The sequence below is a fragment of the Homo sapiens genome, chromosome 6 (genome assembly GCF_000001405.40).
Source record: "Homo sapiens chromosome 6, GRCh38.p14 Primary Assembly".
Classification (NCBI taxonomy): domain Eukaryota; kingdom Metazoa; phylum Chordata; class Mammalia; order Primates; family Hominidae; genus Homo; species Homo sapiens.
The window spans coordinates 110774910-110795952 of NC_000006.12; the positions used below are offsets into that span (position 1 = coordinate 110774910).

General features: G+C 39.9%; 1 protein-coding gene across 15 annotated transcripts in view, besides 1 other annotated feature; it reads right to left on the minus strand.

Annotated features, from left to right (window-relative positions):
- CDK19 (cyclin dependent kinase 19) overlaps window positions 1-21043 on the minus strand; it is a 205878-nt gene that overhangs the window by 164932 nt on the left and 19903 nt on the right. For 2 of the 15 annotated variants that reach the window (XM_024446378.2, XM_047418468.1), the window contains exon 1: window positions 4514-10164. The exons of 11 other annotated variants lie outside the window; for them this stretch is intronic. Coding sequence is in view for 1 of the 4 variants with exons in the window: in XM_047418465.1 (XP_047274421.1) it covers window positions 2706-2708 (3 nt within the window). In the remaining 3 variants the exon portion in view is untranslated. Of the gene's footprint in view, window positions 1-2705; window positions 10165-10608; window positions 10840-21043 lie in introns of those variants that run through there. 2 more of the 15 variants (XM_024446380.2, XM_047418465.1) reach the window with 2 other exon arrangements.
- Window positions 9424-9513: a silencer, noted in NCBI's record as "silent region_17467". NCBI's record gives its function as "represses an Ori minimal core promoter by ATAC-STARR-seq in GM12878 lymphoblastoid cells {active_cell/tissue: GM12878}" and the evidence as "EXISTENCE:reporter gene assay evidence [ECO:0000049][PMID:35858748]".

The following is a 21043-nucleotide window of genomic DNA, read 5'->3' on the forward strand; positions in this document are numbered from 1 at the left end:
CTACACTCCAGCCTGGGCGACAGAGCAAGACCCTATTTCAAAAGAAATACAAAATAGGCTGGGTGCGGTGGCTCACACCTGTAATCCCAGCACTTTGGGAGGCCGAGGCAGGCAGATCACAAGGTCAAGAGATCGAGACCATCCTGGCCAACATGGTGAAACCCCATCTCTACTAAAATACAAAAATTAGCTGGGTGTGGTGGCATGCGCCTGTAGTCCCAGCTACTCGGGAGGCTGAGGCAGGAAAATTGCTTGAACCCTGGAGGCGGAGGTTGCAGTGAGCCAAGATCACACCACTGCACTCCAGCCTGGCAACAGGGTGAGAATCCATCTCAAAAAAAGAAAGAAAAGAAAAAATAAAAGAAATTAGGTGGAAAAATATACTTCACAAAATAGAGAATGGCAAATCCTGCAGCTCAAGGTACATTCTCTTCTTAGAACCAGAAATTATTGGGAATATTGGAGAAAAGCAATTAAAAACAGACCTAGAAGAGGACAACGTAAAAGAAAAAAGGAGAAAGTAGCACTGTAAAGCTATTCTAGTGGCAAAATTTAATTTAATTCTGACAGTAATGTTGAAATAAGCAAGGTACTACATATGCTAGGCAGTATGGGAGAAATCTACCTTGTTCCAATATCAAAATAAAAATAATCATGAAATATGAAAGGCTTTTCAGAAAACATTCATGTAAAAAATTAAGGATTTAATCAGGTAAAATATTTAGATCTCAGATTTTATTTCATTCTTTTCTGGTAATAGGGATAAAAGACTACAAAACATAGCTGATGTATGAGAAAAATGAATCAGATAAATTTTATCAGCTGTTAAATTTAAAAGAGAGAGGCATATTATCTTCATGGAATATTTAGAAATCTTTAAAAGTATCATCAAATAATTAGGAAAGAAGGAACAAAGTATTGTCTTAAAATCTGATGACACGTCAAGGAAAAAACAGTATTTTAAAACATTGGCCCTGAAGCCAGGTGACTTGAGTTCAAATCCAAGGTAGCTCATTTAATTGCTTTGTGACATCAGGCACTTAATCCCTCAGTATAACCAGAGTTGTTCAATGAGGACACCTTCACCATCTCTCAGATTTATACTGAATATCAGTGAAACAAGGTTTTTAAAAATGTTATAAATCACAGAGTGCTATTTTATGCAAAAATTTAAGCCAGTGCATTCTATTTAAATTAGCGACTTAACAAAAGCTGTTAACTAAGAACCAGAGAAAATAGCCAGGCGCAGTGGCTCATGCCTGTAATCCCAGCATTTTGCGAGACTGAGGCAGGTGGATCACCTGAGGTCAGGAGTTCAAGAGCAGCCTGGCCAACATGGCAAAAACCCGCCTCTACTAAAAATACAAAAATCAGCTGGGCGCAGTGGCATGCAACTGTAATCCCAGCTGCTCGAGAGGCTGAGGCAGGAGAATCGCTTGAACCTGGGAGGTGGAGGTTGCAGTGAGCCGAGATCGTGCCACTGCACTCCAGCCTGGGCAACAAGACTGAAACTCTGTCTCAAAAAAAAAAAAAAGAACCAGAGAAAAATATTCTTTGCCCAGCCAAATAATCTGGGGAGCTGTGTAAGGAAGCCTGAAGAAGCAATCAAAAGTTTGAGCTGGCCAAAAGAGCCTAGAATAGTTAGTTGTGAAAGCTAAATGGCAGCCAGAAGAGCACAGTCCCCAAGAGATGATTATATCAAATTACTAATTTAGCAATATGCCCAGCCTCAGCTGTATCTTCTCTTAATTCCCAAACAGCCTTCTAGACTGCACCCTCCTCTAAAGCAGTGCTTGTGACATTCTAAGTTAAGTGCATTTGACATACTATGTTGAAACACAGTGACTACTTGAATATTACATATAATCCTGAAAACCAAAGAGATAAATTCCCATCCATTAAAACAATAATAGCAGCAAAGCCTTACATAGAATGTTTGATGTGCCAGGCACAGTTCTAAGAGTTGTACAAGCACTAACTCATTCGGTCTTCACAACTCTGAGATAGGTACTATTATACTTTAAAGATGAAGAAATGAGACACAGGGAATTTAAGAAACTTGCCCAAAAGCAAGCAGCCAGAAGTGGCAAGTTAAACCCAGACCACTCCCAGAAACATGTTCTTCGTCACCACATCATCCAGCCTATGAAATTAAAATCATACAAACCGGCATCTATCTATATGTCAGAAGCCAAACAATTATATGTGTTCTCAAGTATTCAATCATGCTATATATTCCTCAGCATATGCAACATTTTCTCAGAAAATTCCAATTAAAATGATGTTGTATAAAATATGTAACAAAATGAGAAATGTGATATGAAACTAAAAGAATTAGAACTTTTTCAAAACAAAAGGCCTTAAAATTTAAAATCAATATATCCGAATAACAAATAATATTGGTGTAAGAGTAGCAAGACTAAGTATTTCAGTTTTTTAAACTTGCTGTCATTTGGTTACATAACTCACTCAAACATTTTGTAAACTTTAAAATCTCAATACAATAAGATACGACCTCATACCTTATGATGGTTACTATCAAAAAACTAAAAAAGGAAAAACTAAAAAATAAAATAAAATAAGAAGGGTTGGTGAGGACGTAGAAAAACTGGAATCCTTGTGTACTGTTGGCAGGAGCATAAAATGGTGCAGTTGCTATGGAAAATAGTATAGTGGTTCATCAAAAAAATTAAACAGAGAATTACCATATGATCCAGCAGTTCCACTTCTGGGTATGGAGTCAAAAGAACGAAAAGCAGGGACTCAAGGAGATACTTCTATACCCATGTTTGTAGCACCATTATTCACAGTAGTCAAAATGTGGGAGCAATCCAAGCTTCCCTTAACGGATGAGTGGACAAACAATTGGTAGCATATACATGTAACAGAATATTAGCCATAAAAAGGAGGGAAATTCTGACACATGCTACAACAAGCTTGAAGGCATTATGCTATGTCATATAAGCCCTCACAAAAGGACAAACACTATAGATCCCATGTACATCAGGTAGGTACAGTAGTCAAATTCATAGAGACAGAAAGCAGAATGTGGTTGCCATGTGCTGGGGGAAGGGGAGAATGGGCACTTATTCTTTAATAGGTCCAGAGTTTCAGATTTGTAAGATGAAAGAGGTCTGTGGATGGATGGTGGTGATGGTAGCACAACAATATGAATGTACTCAATCCCACTGAACTGTATACCTAAAAATAGTTAAGATGGTAAATTTCTTGTTATGTTTATCACAATTTTTAAAAAAGTAACATGTGCTAAGTATAGAAAATCTAAAAAAGGAATTGCAAAAAAGAAAAATAAAATTATTTCATCTCCCAAAAAACCACTGTAAACCCGTTTAATGTATATTGTCATATAGTTTTTAAAAATCATACTACACACTTTTTTAAAAAAGGAATTCCTATCAATGTCTTTCTTAAAAACATTAATTCTCTTTAGTACTGATTTAATTTTACTAAAAGTTTAATTGGAAGTCTTTTAATTCAAAGGTTAAAATAATTAAAGTACAATTTTTGCCCCACTAAAACAGTTATGTCATCAAAATAACCACTGGAGTCCTCTAGGTTTCCCAGCAGAATGGCTTTTACTCAGAGTTAGTACAGAGTTTCAATTCTTGCATTATTAACCAAACCAGTCTTGTGTAAGCAATCACACGTATTACTACTTGGGTAAATTGTACTAAATTGTTCTCCCTAACTCCATTATCCATCCTCTTTGTGGCAACACTACTGGCTGCCTAGCATACACCCATTCTCCCTTTCTTCCTTAGGAACAGACCATGGTTTTATTCTGGGTGGCATGTATCCAGGTGAAGTGTACATTTCCCAGCCTTCCTCGCTGCTACGACTGGTCAATTAGCTAGAAGTGGAAGTCACTGGATGAGACACTTCCAAGATAGCTACTTAAAGGGAACTTAGCTAGAAGTGTGTCTGTAGTTCAAATATGGTGGATGGCACTCCAGCAGTCATTCTGGACAATAAGGGTAATGGAAGCTGTGCCAAGGGACAGTCAAGCAGACAGAAGGAACTCAGGTCTTTGATGATCCTACAGTCATCATGCCAAAACTGGACTTCAGTGTGAGAAATATACCTCTATTTTGTTGAGACCACCTGTTTTGTACTGTAGGTGAACCTAAATCTAATATACCCACCTTTACACTGCTGTATCAGTGATCTTTCTAAAATACAAATCAGAATCGTTAAATTCCTTATCTTGGCACATGATTCCTTATCTTTCATGATTCCTTTGACCTCTGCTTGTATCTGCAGCCTTACCTCCAGCCATAAAGAACCAATTATAGACTTCTAATACCACCCTGCCTTTGCACAGGTATATACACTTTGCTGGGAATAAATGCCTTTCCCCAGTCTTTCTCCATGTATCCTTCAAGTCTCAGCTCCTCCAAAAAGCTTTCCTGCTGCACTCACCCTATACACAGGCATAAACAACAAACTCGTGTACCAAATATGAATGGACAATGTTCCTTTGTGCTTACCTTACCTATGAAACTATAATGTAATGTGGAGATGTTTTGGTCTTCCTCTGTCATCAAAGTGAAAGGTCTTGAGGATAGGAAACGATTTGTAACTCTTTGACTTTCCATAGCCCTTAGCACAAGGTCTAGACTAGGGCATAAAGAAGAACTCAATAAATGTTAGATGAATAAATGAAGTTCAGAGAAACAGTCATTCTTAAGTACTTCAAAGACCTTGGCTGGGCACGGTGCCTCACGCCTGTAATCCCAGCACTTTGGAAGGCTGAGGCAAGAGGATCACTTGAACTCAGGAGTTTGAGGCCAGCCTGGGCAAAACAGTAAGACCCCATCTCTACAATAAATAAATAAATTTTTTAAAATCTCATATTCTCAAGCACTTAAAGGAGGCTGGGCGCTGTGGCTCACACCTGTAATCCCAGCACTTTGAGAGGCTGAGGTGGGCAGATTACTTGAGGTCAGGAGTTTGAGACCAGCCTGGCCAACATGGTGAAACCCTGTCTCTACAAAAATACAAAAGTTAGGCCAGGCGCAATGGCTCACACCTGTAATCCCAGCACTTCAGGAGGCCGAGGCAGGCAGATCACAAGGTCAAGAGATTGAGACCATCCTGGCCAACATGGCAAAACCCCGTCTCTACTAAAAATATAAAAATTAGCTGGGTGTGGTGGCACATGTCTGTAATCCCAGCTACTCGGGAAGCTGAGACTGGAGAATCACTTGAACCCAGGAGATGGAGGTTGCAGTGAACAGAGATGGCGCCACTGCACTCCAGCCTGGGCGACGGAGTGAGACTCCATCTCAAAAAAAAAAAAAAATACAAAAATTAGCCGGGCGTGGTGGCATGCACCTGTAATCCTAGCTGCTCGGGAGACTGAGGCAGAAGAATCACTTGAACCTGGGAGGCAGAGGTTGCAGTGAGCCAAGATCGCACCACTGCACTCCAGCCTGATGACAGAGTGACACTCTGTCTCAAAAAAAAAAAAAAAAAAAGTCACACTGTTGCCTTCATTTCAAATCACAACACAAAATCTTCTATCAAGGTATATATCAGAAGACATCAGAATTTATTTTTTTTTATTTAAATTTATTTTAAGACGGTAATACTTAAACTTCCTAACAAAATACCATTTTTCTTCCAAAACAAACCAAGCTTCTGAGTGGATAAACAAACCTATTTTTTTCAGTACGGTTGTTCAGCTGTTCAAGAGAAGGCAATGGAGAACATTTTATCTCATTTCAAGACATCTCTACAACAAATATTTATTGAGGATCAATTATGTGCCAGGCATTGTACTGCACAATTAAAATACTGAATGATGAGCTGCTTGAAAGAAGAATGTTCCAAGGTACTATGAGTGCAAAGGAGGAGTATCATGGACATTTCTCATCTCTGGAAGATTTCCCATCTTCCAGAGATGAGAAAGCAGACAGGAGGTGGCATTTAGATATACTTTTAAAATTTTTTAAAGGAAAAATGAAACTTGCAAGAAAGAGATTTTAACTTTTCATTTTTTTATAATCTCAAGTTTGTTCTTAGGTAAGATAGAAGAAGCCAGTGTCTTTTAGTGCCTACTACATAGCATTATGTAGTTCTTTATGCACATTATCTTGATTAACCATCCAAAAAGTTGTAAGGACAGAAAATGTGTGAGATATTAGTGTATTAGTCCATTTTGCGTTGCTATAAAGGAATACCTCAAACTGGCTAATTTATAAAGAAAAGAATTTTATTTGGCTCATGGTTCTGCAGGCCATATAAGAAACATGGCACCAGCATCTGCTTCCGATGAGGGCCTCAGGAAGCTTTCAATCACGGCACAAGGGGAAGGGGAGCCAGTGTGTCACATGGCAACAGAAGGAGCAAGAAAGAGAGGAGGGATATCCCAGATTCTTTTTGAACAACCAGATCTCCCTGGGAACCGATAGAGCAAGAATTCACTCATTACCTAGGACAGCACCAAGCCAGTCATAAGGGATCTGCCCCCATGACCCAAACACTTCCCAGTTAGCCCCACTTCCAACACCGGAGATCAATTTCCAACCTGAGATTTGGAGGGGACAAATATCCAAACTATATCAGACAGTTGCCTGTTCCCAGGAATAAGAAACATAGCAGAACTTGGTGAAAGCAAGACCCGATTCGGGCTGGGTGCAGTGGCTCACACCTCTAATCCTAGCACTTTGGGAGGCCAACACAGGCAGATGGCATGAGCTCAGGAGTTCAAGACGAGTCTGGGCAACATTGTGAAACCCCATCTCTACAAAAAAATACAAAAATTAGCCAGGCGTGTTGCCACATCCTGGTAGTCCCACCTACTCAGGAGGCTGAGGTGGGAGGATTGCTTGAGCTCAGGAGGTGGAAGCTGCGGTGAGCCAAGATCATGTCACTGCCTAGGTGACAACGTGAGACCCTGTCTCAAATGAAAAAAAAAAAAAAAACCTATTCAGAGATACAATCAGCTCTTACTTTAGAGTCAAAGAATCTCTGTCAATAACTTGCCAAAGTGGCTCCCTCACCGCAATCCCAATTCCCCAGAATAAAATTGTAAAGATTCCAAGATAAACTTTGTGAAGTTTAAAAGCTCATGCTATAATTACACACCAAAACAGAAGCAACTTCTCAAAGAAATCTGCTATACTCAACTAATAAAAGAAACAATTAGAGATAAGGGCATGATATAATAGCTTTTATCTGTCCAAACAAAATTGAATTCTTACTTGTACCCTCCCCTTCTAAATAAACCCAGAAACACAGGAGGAAAATAAGAACAAAAGGACAGACTTTCCACTCTGAAATTATGCTGCTAGCAACAACTGCTATTTGTCCCTTTTATGCCTGCTCAAATGATGTCACAGTTTGGTCCCAGGTTCTGGGAAATCCAATCAACTCTCATCCTGGCCACTTATCAGTCCTTCACTCAGTTGCCAAACTGATCACTGAATCCTAGCTCCTAAATAAATCCCTTGAACTTTTCCCCAGTTCTGCACCTTTTCTACCCCCACAGCTACCACTAAGAAACAGGTCCTCGTCATTCCTATTTGGACCTAACAGCCATCTACTTCCAATGTCATCCAACTTTTGTCCTTTCCACCAACCACACTGCTGCAAAACTGATCACAAAATTCTCCTCTGTAAAACTATACAGCAAACTGTTAAGCAGTGGTTATCTCTAGTGAATGGGATTACAGGGACTTTTCACTGCCTATTTTTTTATTACTTGTTTGCATGTTATGACAAACATGTATTCCCTTTACAATCAGAAAAAAAAATCACTATTTCCATTTTGGGAACTAAAATAATTTATTCCACTTGGAATCTATTACTCCCTTTCTCCATCAGGTTAAACACCAAATTCTATAGCCTGGCACACATTATCATGCTCTCCCTCTCTCTCAAACGCATCTCCAACCTCCATCCTGAGTATTTGCTCTAGACATCCTGAATGACTTGCTGTTGTTCTTTCCTCCACAATTTTATACATTTTGCTTCCTCTGCATAGACTAAACAATAATCTTGAGTCTGTTCCATATAAGCAATCTATCTCCCACTAATAGCTATCATAAATTATTAATCTAAGAATGAAGTTTCACTTGCTCACCTGCAGCACACTATTCCTACAGTCTGCGGCCTACAGTCCCACCATTATACCAACATACTAAATTCTTTCCTTCTGGTCAGGGTAACTGATGTTTTTAAAAGGATAAAATAAAATGACACTTTGCATCCATAGCCTGAGAGATGACATGGGAGGAGGCAGCACAATGCAGAGTACTAACTTTGGGTAGGGGCAGGAACAGCAGACAAATATAGGGCAAGGACCATCATTAAATTTGCTGCACAACTTTTCGGAGTGTAATAGCTTTACTTCAAGTGTTGCAAATTTCCACATCAAGTAAAAGCACAACAAAGTTAAATTTGAAAACACTAAGAATATCTGAGCTGGGTGCTGTGGCTCACACCTGTAATTTCAGCACTTTGGGAAGCCAAGGCAGGCAGATCACTAGAGGTCAGGAGTTCGAGACCAGCCTGGCCAACATGATGAAACTCCATCTCTACTAAAAATACAAAAGTTAGCTGAGCGTGGTGGCACACACTTGTAATCCCAGCTTCTCCAAAGGCTGAGGCAGGAGAATCGCATGAACCCAGGAGGTGGAGGTTTCCGTGAGCCGAGATCACACCATTGCTCTCCAGCCTGGGTGACAGAGTGAGATTCTGTCTCAAAAAAAAAAAAGAAAAAAAAAAGCACTTCCAGATCTAAATATAAGAGCTTAAACCACAAAACTCTAAGAAGAAAACAAAGGAGTAAATCTTTGCAACCTTGGATCAAGCAGTGGTTTCTTAGCACAAGCAACAAAAGAAAAAAAAGAGATGGATTGGACTTCATCAAAATTAAAAACTTTTGTGATTCAAAGTGAATCACAAAATCAAAGAAGTGAATCATCAAGAAATTGAAAAGGCAGGCTGGGCACGGTGGCTCACGCCTGTTATCCCAGCATTTTGGGAGGCCGAAGCAGGTGGATCACCTGAGGTCAGGAGTTCGAGACCAGCCTGGCCAACATGGTGAAACCCCATCTCTACTAAAAATACAAAAATTAGCCGGCATGATGGTGCACACTTGTAATATCAGCTACTCGGGAGGCTGAGGCAAGAGAATTGCTTGAGCTGGGGAGGCAGAGGCTGCAGCGAACCAAGATCACACCACTGCATTCCAGCTTGAGTGACAGAGCAAGACTTCGTCTCAAAAAAAAAAAAAAAAAAAGGAAAGGAGAAAAAGAAAGTGAAAAGGCAACTCAAAAAAAACAAGAAATATTTGCAAATTATACATCACATAAGAGCACAATGTTAAGAATATAAAAAGAACTCTTACAACAATAAAAATACAACCCAATTTTAAAATGAGCAAAGAATTTGAATAGGTATTTCTCCAAAGAATATATGCAATGGTCACTAAGCACATGAAAAAATGCTCAACATCATAAGTTATTAGGGAACTGCAAATCAAAACCACAGTGAGCTACCACTTCACACCCACAAGGATGACTAAAATCAGAAAGATAGACAATACCATATGCTGACAAGGATGTAGAGAACTGAAACCCTCATACATTTCAGGTGGAAATGTGAAATGGTACAGTTGCTTTGGGAAAGAGGCTGGTAGTTCTTCCAAAGGTTAAACATCAACAGCTAACATATTATGCTGCAATTCCACTCCTAGATATATACCCAAGAGAACTGAAACATATGGCCCAACAAAAACTTCTACAAAAATATTCATACCAGCATTAATCATAATAGCCTAAAAGTGGAAACAATCAAATGTTCATCAGTTGATGAATGGATAAATACAACGTGATATATCCACACAGTCATCTGAAAGAATGATATACCCATACATGCTACAATATGAGTGAACTTTGATTATGCTGAGTAAAAGCAGCAAGACACACAATAACATATATAGTATGATTTCATTTTTACATATGTCCAGAATAAACAAATCCATAGACAAGCCACAAAAAGTTGATTAGAGGATACCAGGGAAATGAGGAGTGACTGCTAATGTGTACAGAGTGTTTGTGGTGATGAAATGTTCTAAAATTAGATAATGGTGATAATTATACAATCCTGTGCATATGCTAAAAACCACTGAATTGTCAAAAAAAAAAAAAAAAAAAAGCCCCTGGCTAGAGGGCCCTAAACAAACATTTATGGAAAATGCACTAATTCATCAATCAGTCAATATCCTAGAATGTTTATAGAAAAGTACATTCTGACAATTTTTGATAGCCAATTTGCCTTCATCAGTCTCCCTTCATTAGAGATCATTGCTTGCTCCACAGGCAAACAGTTGATCCTTGAACAACACAGGGCTTAGTGGCGCTTACCCCACACACAGTCAAAAACCCACATGCAACTTCTGACTCCCACAAACTTAACTACTCATAGCCTACTGTTGACTGGAAACCTCACTGATAACATAAATAGTCAATTAACATATATTTTGTATGTTATTTTTATTATATACTGTATTCTTACAATAAAGTAAGCTACAGAAAAGAAAATGCGAAGGAAACCATAAGACAGACAAAATATATTTACTATTCATTAGTAGAAGTGGATCATCGTAAAGTTCTTCATCCTCATTGTCTTCACATTGAGTCGGCTGAGAAGAAAGAGGGGAGTTGGTCTTGCTGTCTCAAGGATGGCAGAGGCGGAGGAGGTAGAAGGGGAGACAGAAGAGGCAGGCACACTTAGTGTAACTTTATAGAAATACATCATAGGCCGGGCGCGGTGGCTCACACCTGTAATCCCAGTACTTTGGGAGGCCAAGGCAGGCAGATCGCCTGAGTTTGGGAGTTGGCGACCAGCCTGACCAACATAGAGAAAACTCGTCTCTACTAAAAATACAAAATCAGCCAGGCGTGCTGGCACATGCCTGTAATCCCAACTACTCGGGAGCCTGAGGCAGAAGAATCGCTTGAACCGGGGAGGCAGAGATTGTCGTGAGTCGAGATGAAGCCATTGCACCCCACCCTGGGCAACAAGAGCGAAACTCCATCTCAAAAAAAAAAAAAGAAAGGAAAATAAAAAGAAATACATCATAATTTCTGCCTGACTTTTTTGCTTTTTCATTTCTCTAGCAATGTTTTGGTATGGTACCATTCCTTCTTCCGTCTGCTTTAGTTTCAGTGTCTGTATCATAGAAGAGGAGATGTTGTAAAAGAAGTCCAAAGCAGCCTAAATAATCAGAACCATTTTGCCAGCTTGTCTAACATCAATTTGTTTCCTGACACTGCTTCTTGTGTGTCTTTTTCCTCATCATCTGGTACTGGTTCGGAAGCACTCATCTCCATCAAGTCATTTATTAATTCCTCTGGTGTGCCATCTATTAGGTCTTTAATTCTCTCGGATCTGTATTTTAAAACCCTTCACTCCATCTTTTTTTCCATACCCCCAATTTCCTTCATGATTTCCTTAACTGGCTCTGTCATAAACCCTGTGAAGTCATGCACAACATCTGGGCACTGTTTTCTCCAGCAGGAATGTATTGTTTTGAGCTTGATGGCTTCTGTGGCTGTAACAACAGCATCTTAAATGGTGCAATCCTTCTAGACCTTCATGATGTTCTCCCTATTGGGTTTCTCTTTCATAATGTAGACAATCCTTTCCATAGGGTACCGCGTGTAATGAGCCTTAAAGGTCTTATGACCCACTGATCTACAGGCTAAATTAGAAATGTGTTTGGGGGCAAATAGATCACTTCAACACCTTTAGTGTTGAACTCATTGGGCTATGGGGAATCACGGCATTGTCTAATACCAAAAGAACTTTGAGAGGCAGTCCCTTATTGGCAAGGTACTTCCTTAGGGAACAAAGCATTGATGGAACCAATCAAGATAAAGGGTTCTCATTGTCCAGACTTTCTTTTGTAAAATGAAAAGACTGGCAGCTGGTGTTTATCTTTTCCTTCCAAGGCTCAGGGGTTAGCAGCTTTATAGATAAGGGCAGTCCTAATCATAAACCCAAACTGCATTTGCACACAATGGTACAATTCTATCCTTCTATCCCTTCTTGCCTTAAATCCTGGGGCTTGCTTCATTACTAATTAATGTTCCTTGTGGCATTTTTTCCAGAATAAGGCCCTTTTGTCCACATTAAAAACCTATTCAGGGCCAGGCGCGGTGGCTCACACCTGTAATCCCCAGCACTTTGGGAGGTCCAGACGGGCGGATCACTTGAAGTCAGGAGTTCGAGACCAGCCTTGGCCAACATGGTGAAACCCTGTCTCTACTAAAAATATAAAAATTAGCTGGGCATGGTGGTGCATGTTTGTAATCCCAGCTACTTGGGAGGCTGAGGCAGGAGAATCGTTTGAACCTGGGAGGCAGAGTTTGCAGTGAGTGGAGATTGTGCCACTGCATTCCAGCTTGGGTGACAGAGCAAGGCTCTGTCTAAAACAAACAAACAAACAAAGACCTATTCAGGCAGATATCCTTTCTCCTCAATGTTTTTTTTGTTTTGTTTTGTTTTTTTGTTTTGGAGAGGGGAACAAGGTCTCACTCTGTCACCCAGGCTGGAGTGCAGTGGAACAATCACAGCTCACTGTAGCCTCTACCTCCTGGGCTTAAGGGATTCTCCAACGTCAGCCTCACAAGTAGCTGACACTCTAGGTAACGTGCCACCATATTTTATTTTATTTTTTTGTAGCAACAGGGTCTGACTATGTTGCCCAAGCTGGTCTCAAACTCCTGGGCTCAAGTGATCCTCCTGCCTTGGCCTGCCAAAGTGCTGGGATTTATAGGCGTAAGCCATGACACCTGGCAGGTTTTGAGCTTCCATAATTCAGTGATTTCCTTATTGGCATCTGGGAACTTATCTGCTGCATTTACTGTTATCTTGACTGGGTTTTGCGGTTTTTTTGTTTGTTTGTTTCGTTTTGAGACGTAGTCTCGCTCTGTTGCCCAGGCTGGAGTGCAGTGGCGTGATTTCGGCTCACTGCAACTTCTGCCTCCCGGGTTCAAATGATTCTCCTGTCTCAGCCTCCTGAGGAGCTGGGATTACAGTCGTGCGCCACCATACCTGGCTAATTTTTGTATTTTTAGTAGAGACAGGGTTTCATCATGTTAGTCAGGCTGGTCTTGAACTCCTGACCTCACGTGATCTGCCCACCTCGGCCTCCCAAATTGCTGGGATTACAGGTGTGAGCCACCACACCTGGCCTGTTTTTTGTTTTTTTGTTGTTGTTGTTTGTTTGTTTTTGAGACAGGCTCTTGATCTGATGCCCAGGCTGGAGTGAAGTGGTGCAAGATTATAGCTCACTATAACCTCAAACTCCTGGGATCAAGTGACCCTCCTGCCTCAGCTTCTCAAATATCTAGGACTACAGGTTTGCATCACCATGCCTGGCTAATTTTTTTTTTAAGAGACAGGGTCCCATTATGTTGCCTAGGCTGGTCTCAAACTCCTGGTCTCAAGAGATCCTCCTGCCTCAGGTTCCCTAAGTGCTGGGATTCTAGGCATGAGCCACCACATCCAGCCTATCCTGACAATTTTAAAGCCATCTCTTTCCAAAATTATCAAACCATCCTTGGCTGCCATAAAATTCTCCAGCTTTAGATCCTTCACCTTTCTTTTGCTATAAGGTGTCATATGAATTCTTTTTTTCTCAAATCACATTAGAATCTATAGGTATGCCTCTCTTATAGCAATCCTGCACCCACAGAGAAGCTGTATCTTTTCAATACAAGATAAAAAGTTATTTAGCAAAAAGTGCAAGGTTTTTACACCTTTTGGCATAGCTGGAGAAATGGCTTCACAAATTTCTTTTTCTTTTTTTTTATGATCCTTATGCTGTATTCATTTATCTTGAAATGGTGAGCAACTGCAGCTGCAGACTTCAATCTACAGTACATATCAAGGAACTGAACTTTTTTTTTCTAATGTCATGACTTCTCTCTGCTTCTTGGGAGCACTTCTGGCATGATTAGTGGCACTCCATATGGGTGCCATGGTGTTATTCAAACTTTACAGTATTCCACTTAACATGATGAAAAATACACAAGAACCACAAGTGATCACTTTTTACTGCTACATCCAACTTACCAGAGAGACAAATTGCTTATGTGGAGATGATTAGCATCACATAGCATTTTAAGCGTGTATCTGCAACACTTGAGCTCACAGCAATAGCAAGAAGAATTGGCTATGAAATTATTATATTAAGTAGTACAGTATGTACAACAGTGAATTTTATGTAGTTATGATTCAGTACTATACCTTTACATTTGTTTACATTTCTCTGGACTGCAAATGGCATCATGTGTGGTCTTTAAGTGTTTCTGTGCCTAAGTTTTGATAAATTTTAACTTTTTTTTTTTTTAAGTGGAGTCTTGCCCTGTCACCAGGCTGGAGTGCAGTGGCACAATCTTGGCTCACTGCAACCTCCACTTCCTGGGTTCAAGAGATTCTCCTGCCTCAGCCTCCCAGATAGCTGGGACTACAGGCATGCACCACCACGCCCAGCTAATTTTTGTATTTTTAGTAGAGACGGGGTTTCAGCATGTTGGCCAGGATGGTCTCAATCTCTTCACCTTGTGATTAATCCGCCTCGGCCTCCCAAAGTGCTGGGATTACAGGCGTGAGCCACCATGCCAGCCAAATTTTAACTTTATTTTTAGACAGGGTCTAACCATGTTGCTCAGGCTGGTCTCAAACTCCTCAGCTTAAGGAATTCTTCCAGCTTGGCCTCCCAAAGTGCTGGGATTGCAGGAATGAGTCACCATGCCTGGCCAAATTTTAACTTTTTATAATAGATTTGTGTCTATTTTATGGTAGTAAATGATAAAATAGACTAGTATCTACATACATTTTATACATTTATGACACACCTAATTTTTTCTTAATTTTTTCCATATTTCTAAGCAATGCAATTCATTTACCAATTTATTCCAATTGTTGCAAATCTCCAAAAAATTTTTCTACATACTTATCAGAAAAAGTTCAGGTACAAGTGGACCTGCACAGTTCAAATTTTGTTCAAAGAGCAACTGTAGTTCTCATTATCTTTATAAATCCTGTTACAGACTTAAACGTTGGGGTAGGAGTTAGAAAAACCAATATATAGCTATTCATGTACTCAGCACCAATATATCAGATGCTGAAACATATTATGTGATATTAAGGAAGGCATTGTATATTTCTGGACTTCTTCTGAGGCAAGCAATTTGAACCAGATAAGATTCCACATAGCTCTAAACGCTTATGTTGTATTTATACTGCTACCCGTAAGTACATCCAAGAGGAGATTTTTAAGTTTTTAATTATATAGGTTCTTAGGCTGGTCATGGTGGCTCACGCCTGTAATCCCAGCACTTTGGGAGGCGGAGGCAGGTAAATCACTTGAGGTCTGGATTCAAGACCAGCCTGGCCAACATGGAGAAAACCCATCTCTACTAAAAATAGAAAAATTAGCCCAGCGTGGTGGCAGGTGCCTGTAATCCCAGCTACTGGGGAGGCTGAAGCATGAGAAACACTTGAAACTGGGAGGCAGAGGTTGCAGTGAGCCAGGATCACACCACTACGCTCTAGCCTGGGTGACAGAGCAAGACTCTGTCTCAAAAAATAATAAAATAAAATAAAAAATAAATTATATAGGTTATTAAAACTCCTACTTTATGTAAACCAATATAGTAATAAGAAATTGATCCACAGATTCACTTTGAAATTTTATAGTAATTATCATGACAAATTAAAGTACATTTTGATTTACATACTCTTTCCTATCCCTCTACATATTTCTACTTTAGAAAGTTCTCTCTTTCAGAAAAACAAAGTTTTAACTGGACATCTGTTGATCACAGTGCTATTTATAATAATAAAAAGTTATAAATAAGCATCAATCAACAGAGTAACTGGTTAAACAAATAAAGGTACATGTATACAGACTATAGTTATTAAAAATGTAGAACAAGGGCCGGGTGCGGTGGCTCACGCCTGTAATCCCAGCACTTTGGGAGGCTGAGGTAGGTGGATCACGAGGTCAGGAGTTCAAGACCAACCTGGCTAACATGGTGTAACCCCGTCTCTACTAAAAATACAAAAAATTAGCCGGGCATGGTGGCAGGCACCTGTAGTCCCAGCTTCTTGGGAGGCTGAGGCAGGAGAATAGCATGAACCTGGGAGGCGGAGGTTGCAGTGAGCCAAGATCGCACCACTGCACTCCAGCCTGGACGACAGAGTGAGACTCCGTCTCAAAAAAAAAAAAATTTAATTCATTAATTAATTAATTAAATAAAAATGTAGAACACTGGTTCTGATCTGTCATGGAAAAAAAGAAAAATAGAATCAAATTTTAAAAGTAAAAGAAAAGAAAAATGTAGAACAGTGATTTTGGGAGGAAAGAAGGTCAGAAAGCAGATTTTTACCCATACTCACAAGAATAACTGCATATAATTAAAGATATTATTGATGGAAGGGTTGTAGATGTAAATGGTATAGATTTTCTTTAGGAAAAAAGGACAGAACACAACTATTGGAAAAGAAGGTTTAGTAAAATGGAAAAATATTCATTATATATTGTAAAATGTAAAATACAGGCTACTAAAAAGTATGTAGAATATGATTGCATTTTGGAGAAAAGTAGGTATTTCCTGAGAAAGAAGTGTAGAAAAACATACCACACCATTCATAATGGTTATCTATGAATAACTTTACTTCTTTTTGCTTATCTTTGTTTCCTAATTTTTCTTTTTTTTATAGAGACAAGGTCTCACTATGTCGCCCAGGCTGAATTCAAACTCCTGGGTTCAAGCGATCCTCCTGCCTCAGCCTTCTGAGTAGCTGAGACTGCAGGCACACACACTGTGCCCAGCTTGGTTTTTTAAATAATAATAATTACTATTATTATTTTTAGAGATAGGGTCTCGCTATGTTGTCTAGGCTGATCTTGAACTCCTGGCCTCAAGCAATCCTCCCACCTCAACCTCCCAAAGTGCTGGGATTACAGGCATAAGCCACCAAGCCCAGCCACCCAGCATGTTTTCTAATTTTTTCTTAAACTTTTTTTTTTTTTGAGACGGAGTCCCATTCTGTTGCCAGGCTGGAGTGCAGTGGCATGATCTCAGCTCACTGCAACCTCTGCCTCCCGGGTTCAAGCAATTCTCCTGACTCACCCTCCCAAGTAGCTGGGACTATAGGCACGTGCCACTATGTCCAGCTAATTTTTGTATGTTTAGTAGAGACAGGGTTTCACCATGTTGGCCAGGATGGTCTCGATCTCTTGACCTTGTGATCCACCCACCTCGGCCTCCCAAAGTGCTGAGATTACAGGCGTGAGCCACCGCGCCTGGCCCTTTATTTATTTTTTTAATTTAATTTGAGAAAAGATAAGGTCTTCTCCTTTACCTTTTTTCTTTATTTTCAAGGCTAAAGTAAAAGAGCCCATCATCAAACCAATTTTTCTTTCCTAATATAATAAACTTTTTTTGTTGTTGTCTTGCTCTGTCACCCAGGCTGGAGTGCAGTGGCACAATCTCGGCTCACTGCAGTGGCACAATCTCAGCTCACTGCAACCTCCGCCTCTCAGGTTCAAGTGATTCTCTTGCCTCAGCCTCCCGAGTAGCTGGGATTACAGACGCGTGCCACCACGCCCGGCTAATTTTGGTATTTTTAGTAGAGACGGGGTTTTGCCATGTTGCCAGGCTGGTCTCGAACTCCTGACCTCAGGTGATCCACCCGCCGCGACAGGCGAGGGATGGACATTCATGGCGAATACTTTTTTATAACAATTCATTACAGATGTGGATAAAATTCTATCTTCCTGCTGAATCTAACCAGATTAATCCTCACTCTCAAAAAACTGACTATAATTTTTACTCAATATCTACCCTTTTTATTTACTAACTTAACCTTCAGGGAAATTTATCATTGAAACCCCTCTATACAGATTTAGCGAATAAATAAACTAATGCTTTGCTGGAGACTTTTATACATTTTGACTCAATTACTCCTCGCAACAATCAGTGAGGAGTATTTTGTCATCCAACAGATCTTACAGATGGGGAAACTGAGATACAGAGAGATTATTTAACTACCAGAATCCCACTGCTAGACAGTATTTATTAGCTGAGATTTGAAATAGGTTTTCAAAAGATTTTGGTACATCACAGTTTGTTTTTCCTTTGTATGTATATTTACTAGGAATCAGGAGCAAAAATCCTTCCCCGAGAACGGAAAATATGAGTAGTTTGTTAAGAGGGAATAAACATTATTCAAATCATTTAGTCCCCAAAAAATACTGTTTATTCAAATGCTGAAAAAGAAAATGTCTTTGTGACAGTAAACTAAACAAGGAGGCTTGGCTAATTGGCTTAGAGCAAAGGTAAAATCTAATATGACTCTGTTCTCTTCACTATTATAAATACCAAATTTCTCTGTGGTGTTTTCCTATCACTTATCTAAAAAGATAAGGACAACATCAGCATTATAAGGCTTTGCTTAAAAAAAATTATCCTAAATGTTAAGTCTTTATACTTACATGGACATGAAAGTCAACAAAATGTGTTTTGGTTGATTATGAAAAGTCTTTACACAGTGTGGGAGACAGTTATAGTTCATAAATTGTACTTATCATTAAGAATGTGGGTTTTAACTGCTTAACATTAACTCAAAGATTTCTTTCCCACCTTTCATTGAACCCTTTGTTCCACACTGTGGCAGAGACTATTACTGACTGGCTTCCCCAGAGCCATTCACAACCTGTTTTCCCTTGTGTTCCTCTAATCCATAGAAGGCATTTGCTTACCATTTGGTTGGCACAGTCTCTTTTGCCTTTCAGCCTTTGCCTCTTCCCCTTCTTCCTGACTAGAATGTGAAAGAAATACCTGGAGGCATAACAATCATTTGGGACCACATGTACAAAAACCACTGAACAGACAGAGGAAAGGAGGTGAATACTTGTTAATATCCTGGCACAACTGCACCAGCCCAGCATGCCCCATCTCTGGACCTTTCATTACAAGAGGAAAATAAACATCTTATTTGTACAATATTGGTTTTTCTGTTGCACAAAGCCAGAATGACAAATCCACACACGATAAACAGCATAGTTGTGTTCTTCCCAGTTTTTTTGTTTGTTTGTTTGTTTTAAGATGGAGTCTCGCTCTGTCACCCAGGCTGGAGTGCAGTGGCGCAATCTCAGCTCACTGCAACCTCTGCCTCCCAGGTTCAAGCAATTCTCCTGTCTCAGCCTCCCAAGTAACTGGGACTAAGGGCGTCTGCCACCACGCCTAGCTAACTTTTGTATTTTTAGTAGAGATGGGTTTTCACCATATTTGGTCAGGCTGGTCTCGAACTCCTGACCTCAGGTGATCCGCCCACCTCGGCCTCCCAAATTGCTAGGATTACCTGTGAGCGACCGCGCCTGGCCTGTTCTTCCCAGTGTTAAATGACAGCTAGATTTGCACTCTCCTCTCTCCAGTAGTTTGAAACTTTTTTTTTTTTTTTGAGACGCGTCTCACTCTGTCACCAGGCTGGAGTGCAGTAGCGTCATCTTGGCTCACTGCAACCTCTGCCTCCCAGGTTCAAGTGATTCTCCTGCCTCAGCCTCCCGAGTAGCTGGGACTACAGGCGCCCACCACCACGTCCAGCTAATTTTTTTTGTATTTTTAGTAGAGACAGGGTTTCACCATCTTAGCCAGGATGGTCTCGATCTCCTGACCTCGTGATCCACCCGCCTCAGCCTCCCAAAGTGCTGGGATTACAGGGGTGAGCCACCACGCCTGGCCTGATATTTTTTAAAATGCTTTTAACAATTTCTATACCAAAACACAACATGAAACTTTGTTTATTCTTCACTACTTTTCAGAATAATATATATATATCTGTGAAAAAAAAAATCACCCATTCTTCCAATAAAAATTAAGAGTAGGAAATTAAGATGACTAGAAAACTTCCTGGTAAATTATATTGTAGAACATATCTTTAACATAAAAGTAGAAAAATGTGGATGACAAGATTAGATAAATATAAAATATTCCAAGGAAAACTTGCTGCTGTCTTGTTTTGTTTTGGTGACAGGGTCTCAGTCTGTCGCCAAATCTTGAGTGCAGTGGTGCGATCACAGCTCACTGTAGCCTCAACTTTCCCTGGCTCAGGTGTTTCTCCCACCTCAGCCTCCTGAGTAGCTGGGACTACAGGTGCATGTCACCATGCCTGGATAATTTTTGTATTTTTTGTAGAGACAGGGTTCCCCCTTGTTGCACAGGCTAGTCTGGAACTCCTGGACTCAAGCAATCCACACACCTTGGCCTCCCAAAGTGCTGGGATTACAAGTGTGAGTCACCATGCCCAGCTTAAACTTCCTGCTTTTTAGTAAGTCAAAAATAATTACCAACTATAAAATGGGTAAAGACTAGTGAGGTTGGAAGAGGGGTGGTACCTCAACCATGAACTACAGGTCCTAGGAGCTAAGAGAGATGTAAATTGTAAGACTGGTAAGATCTTTAGCTCAGATGTAGGAAAATCATAGAGAAACAGCTCTAATTACTATCATGCTAAAGCAGAAACCATTTCAACTGTCAAATTGTGATAAAGAACATTCACAGCCACTGAGGTTGAGATGAGGGGCACTTTTTATATATTGTTAGTAGTAGTGGAGAAAACTATATATGAAAAAATTAGGTTATAAATACTAAGAGCCTTAAACAACTAATACCCTTTGACACAGCAAATTAACTTATAAGACGCTATTTTAAGGAAAGAATTAGATATTAAGGACCAAGATTTAGACACAACAACAGCTATTAGTATTACACATATTATCAAAATATTAGGAAAAACTTAAATGTTCAACAAGCAGAGAGAGTTCAGTAAAGCATTGCATATTCATATAAGAGTATAAACATCCACTAAAAATCAAGTTCTTAAAAAAAATTGATAATATAGATAAACACTGATCATATCTACAGTTAGAGGATCTTAAACTCATTCACAGAACCCTTAGTATCTTAGTAATTTGTTCACAGGACCCTACGGC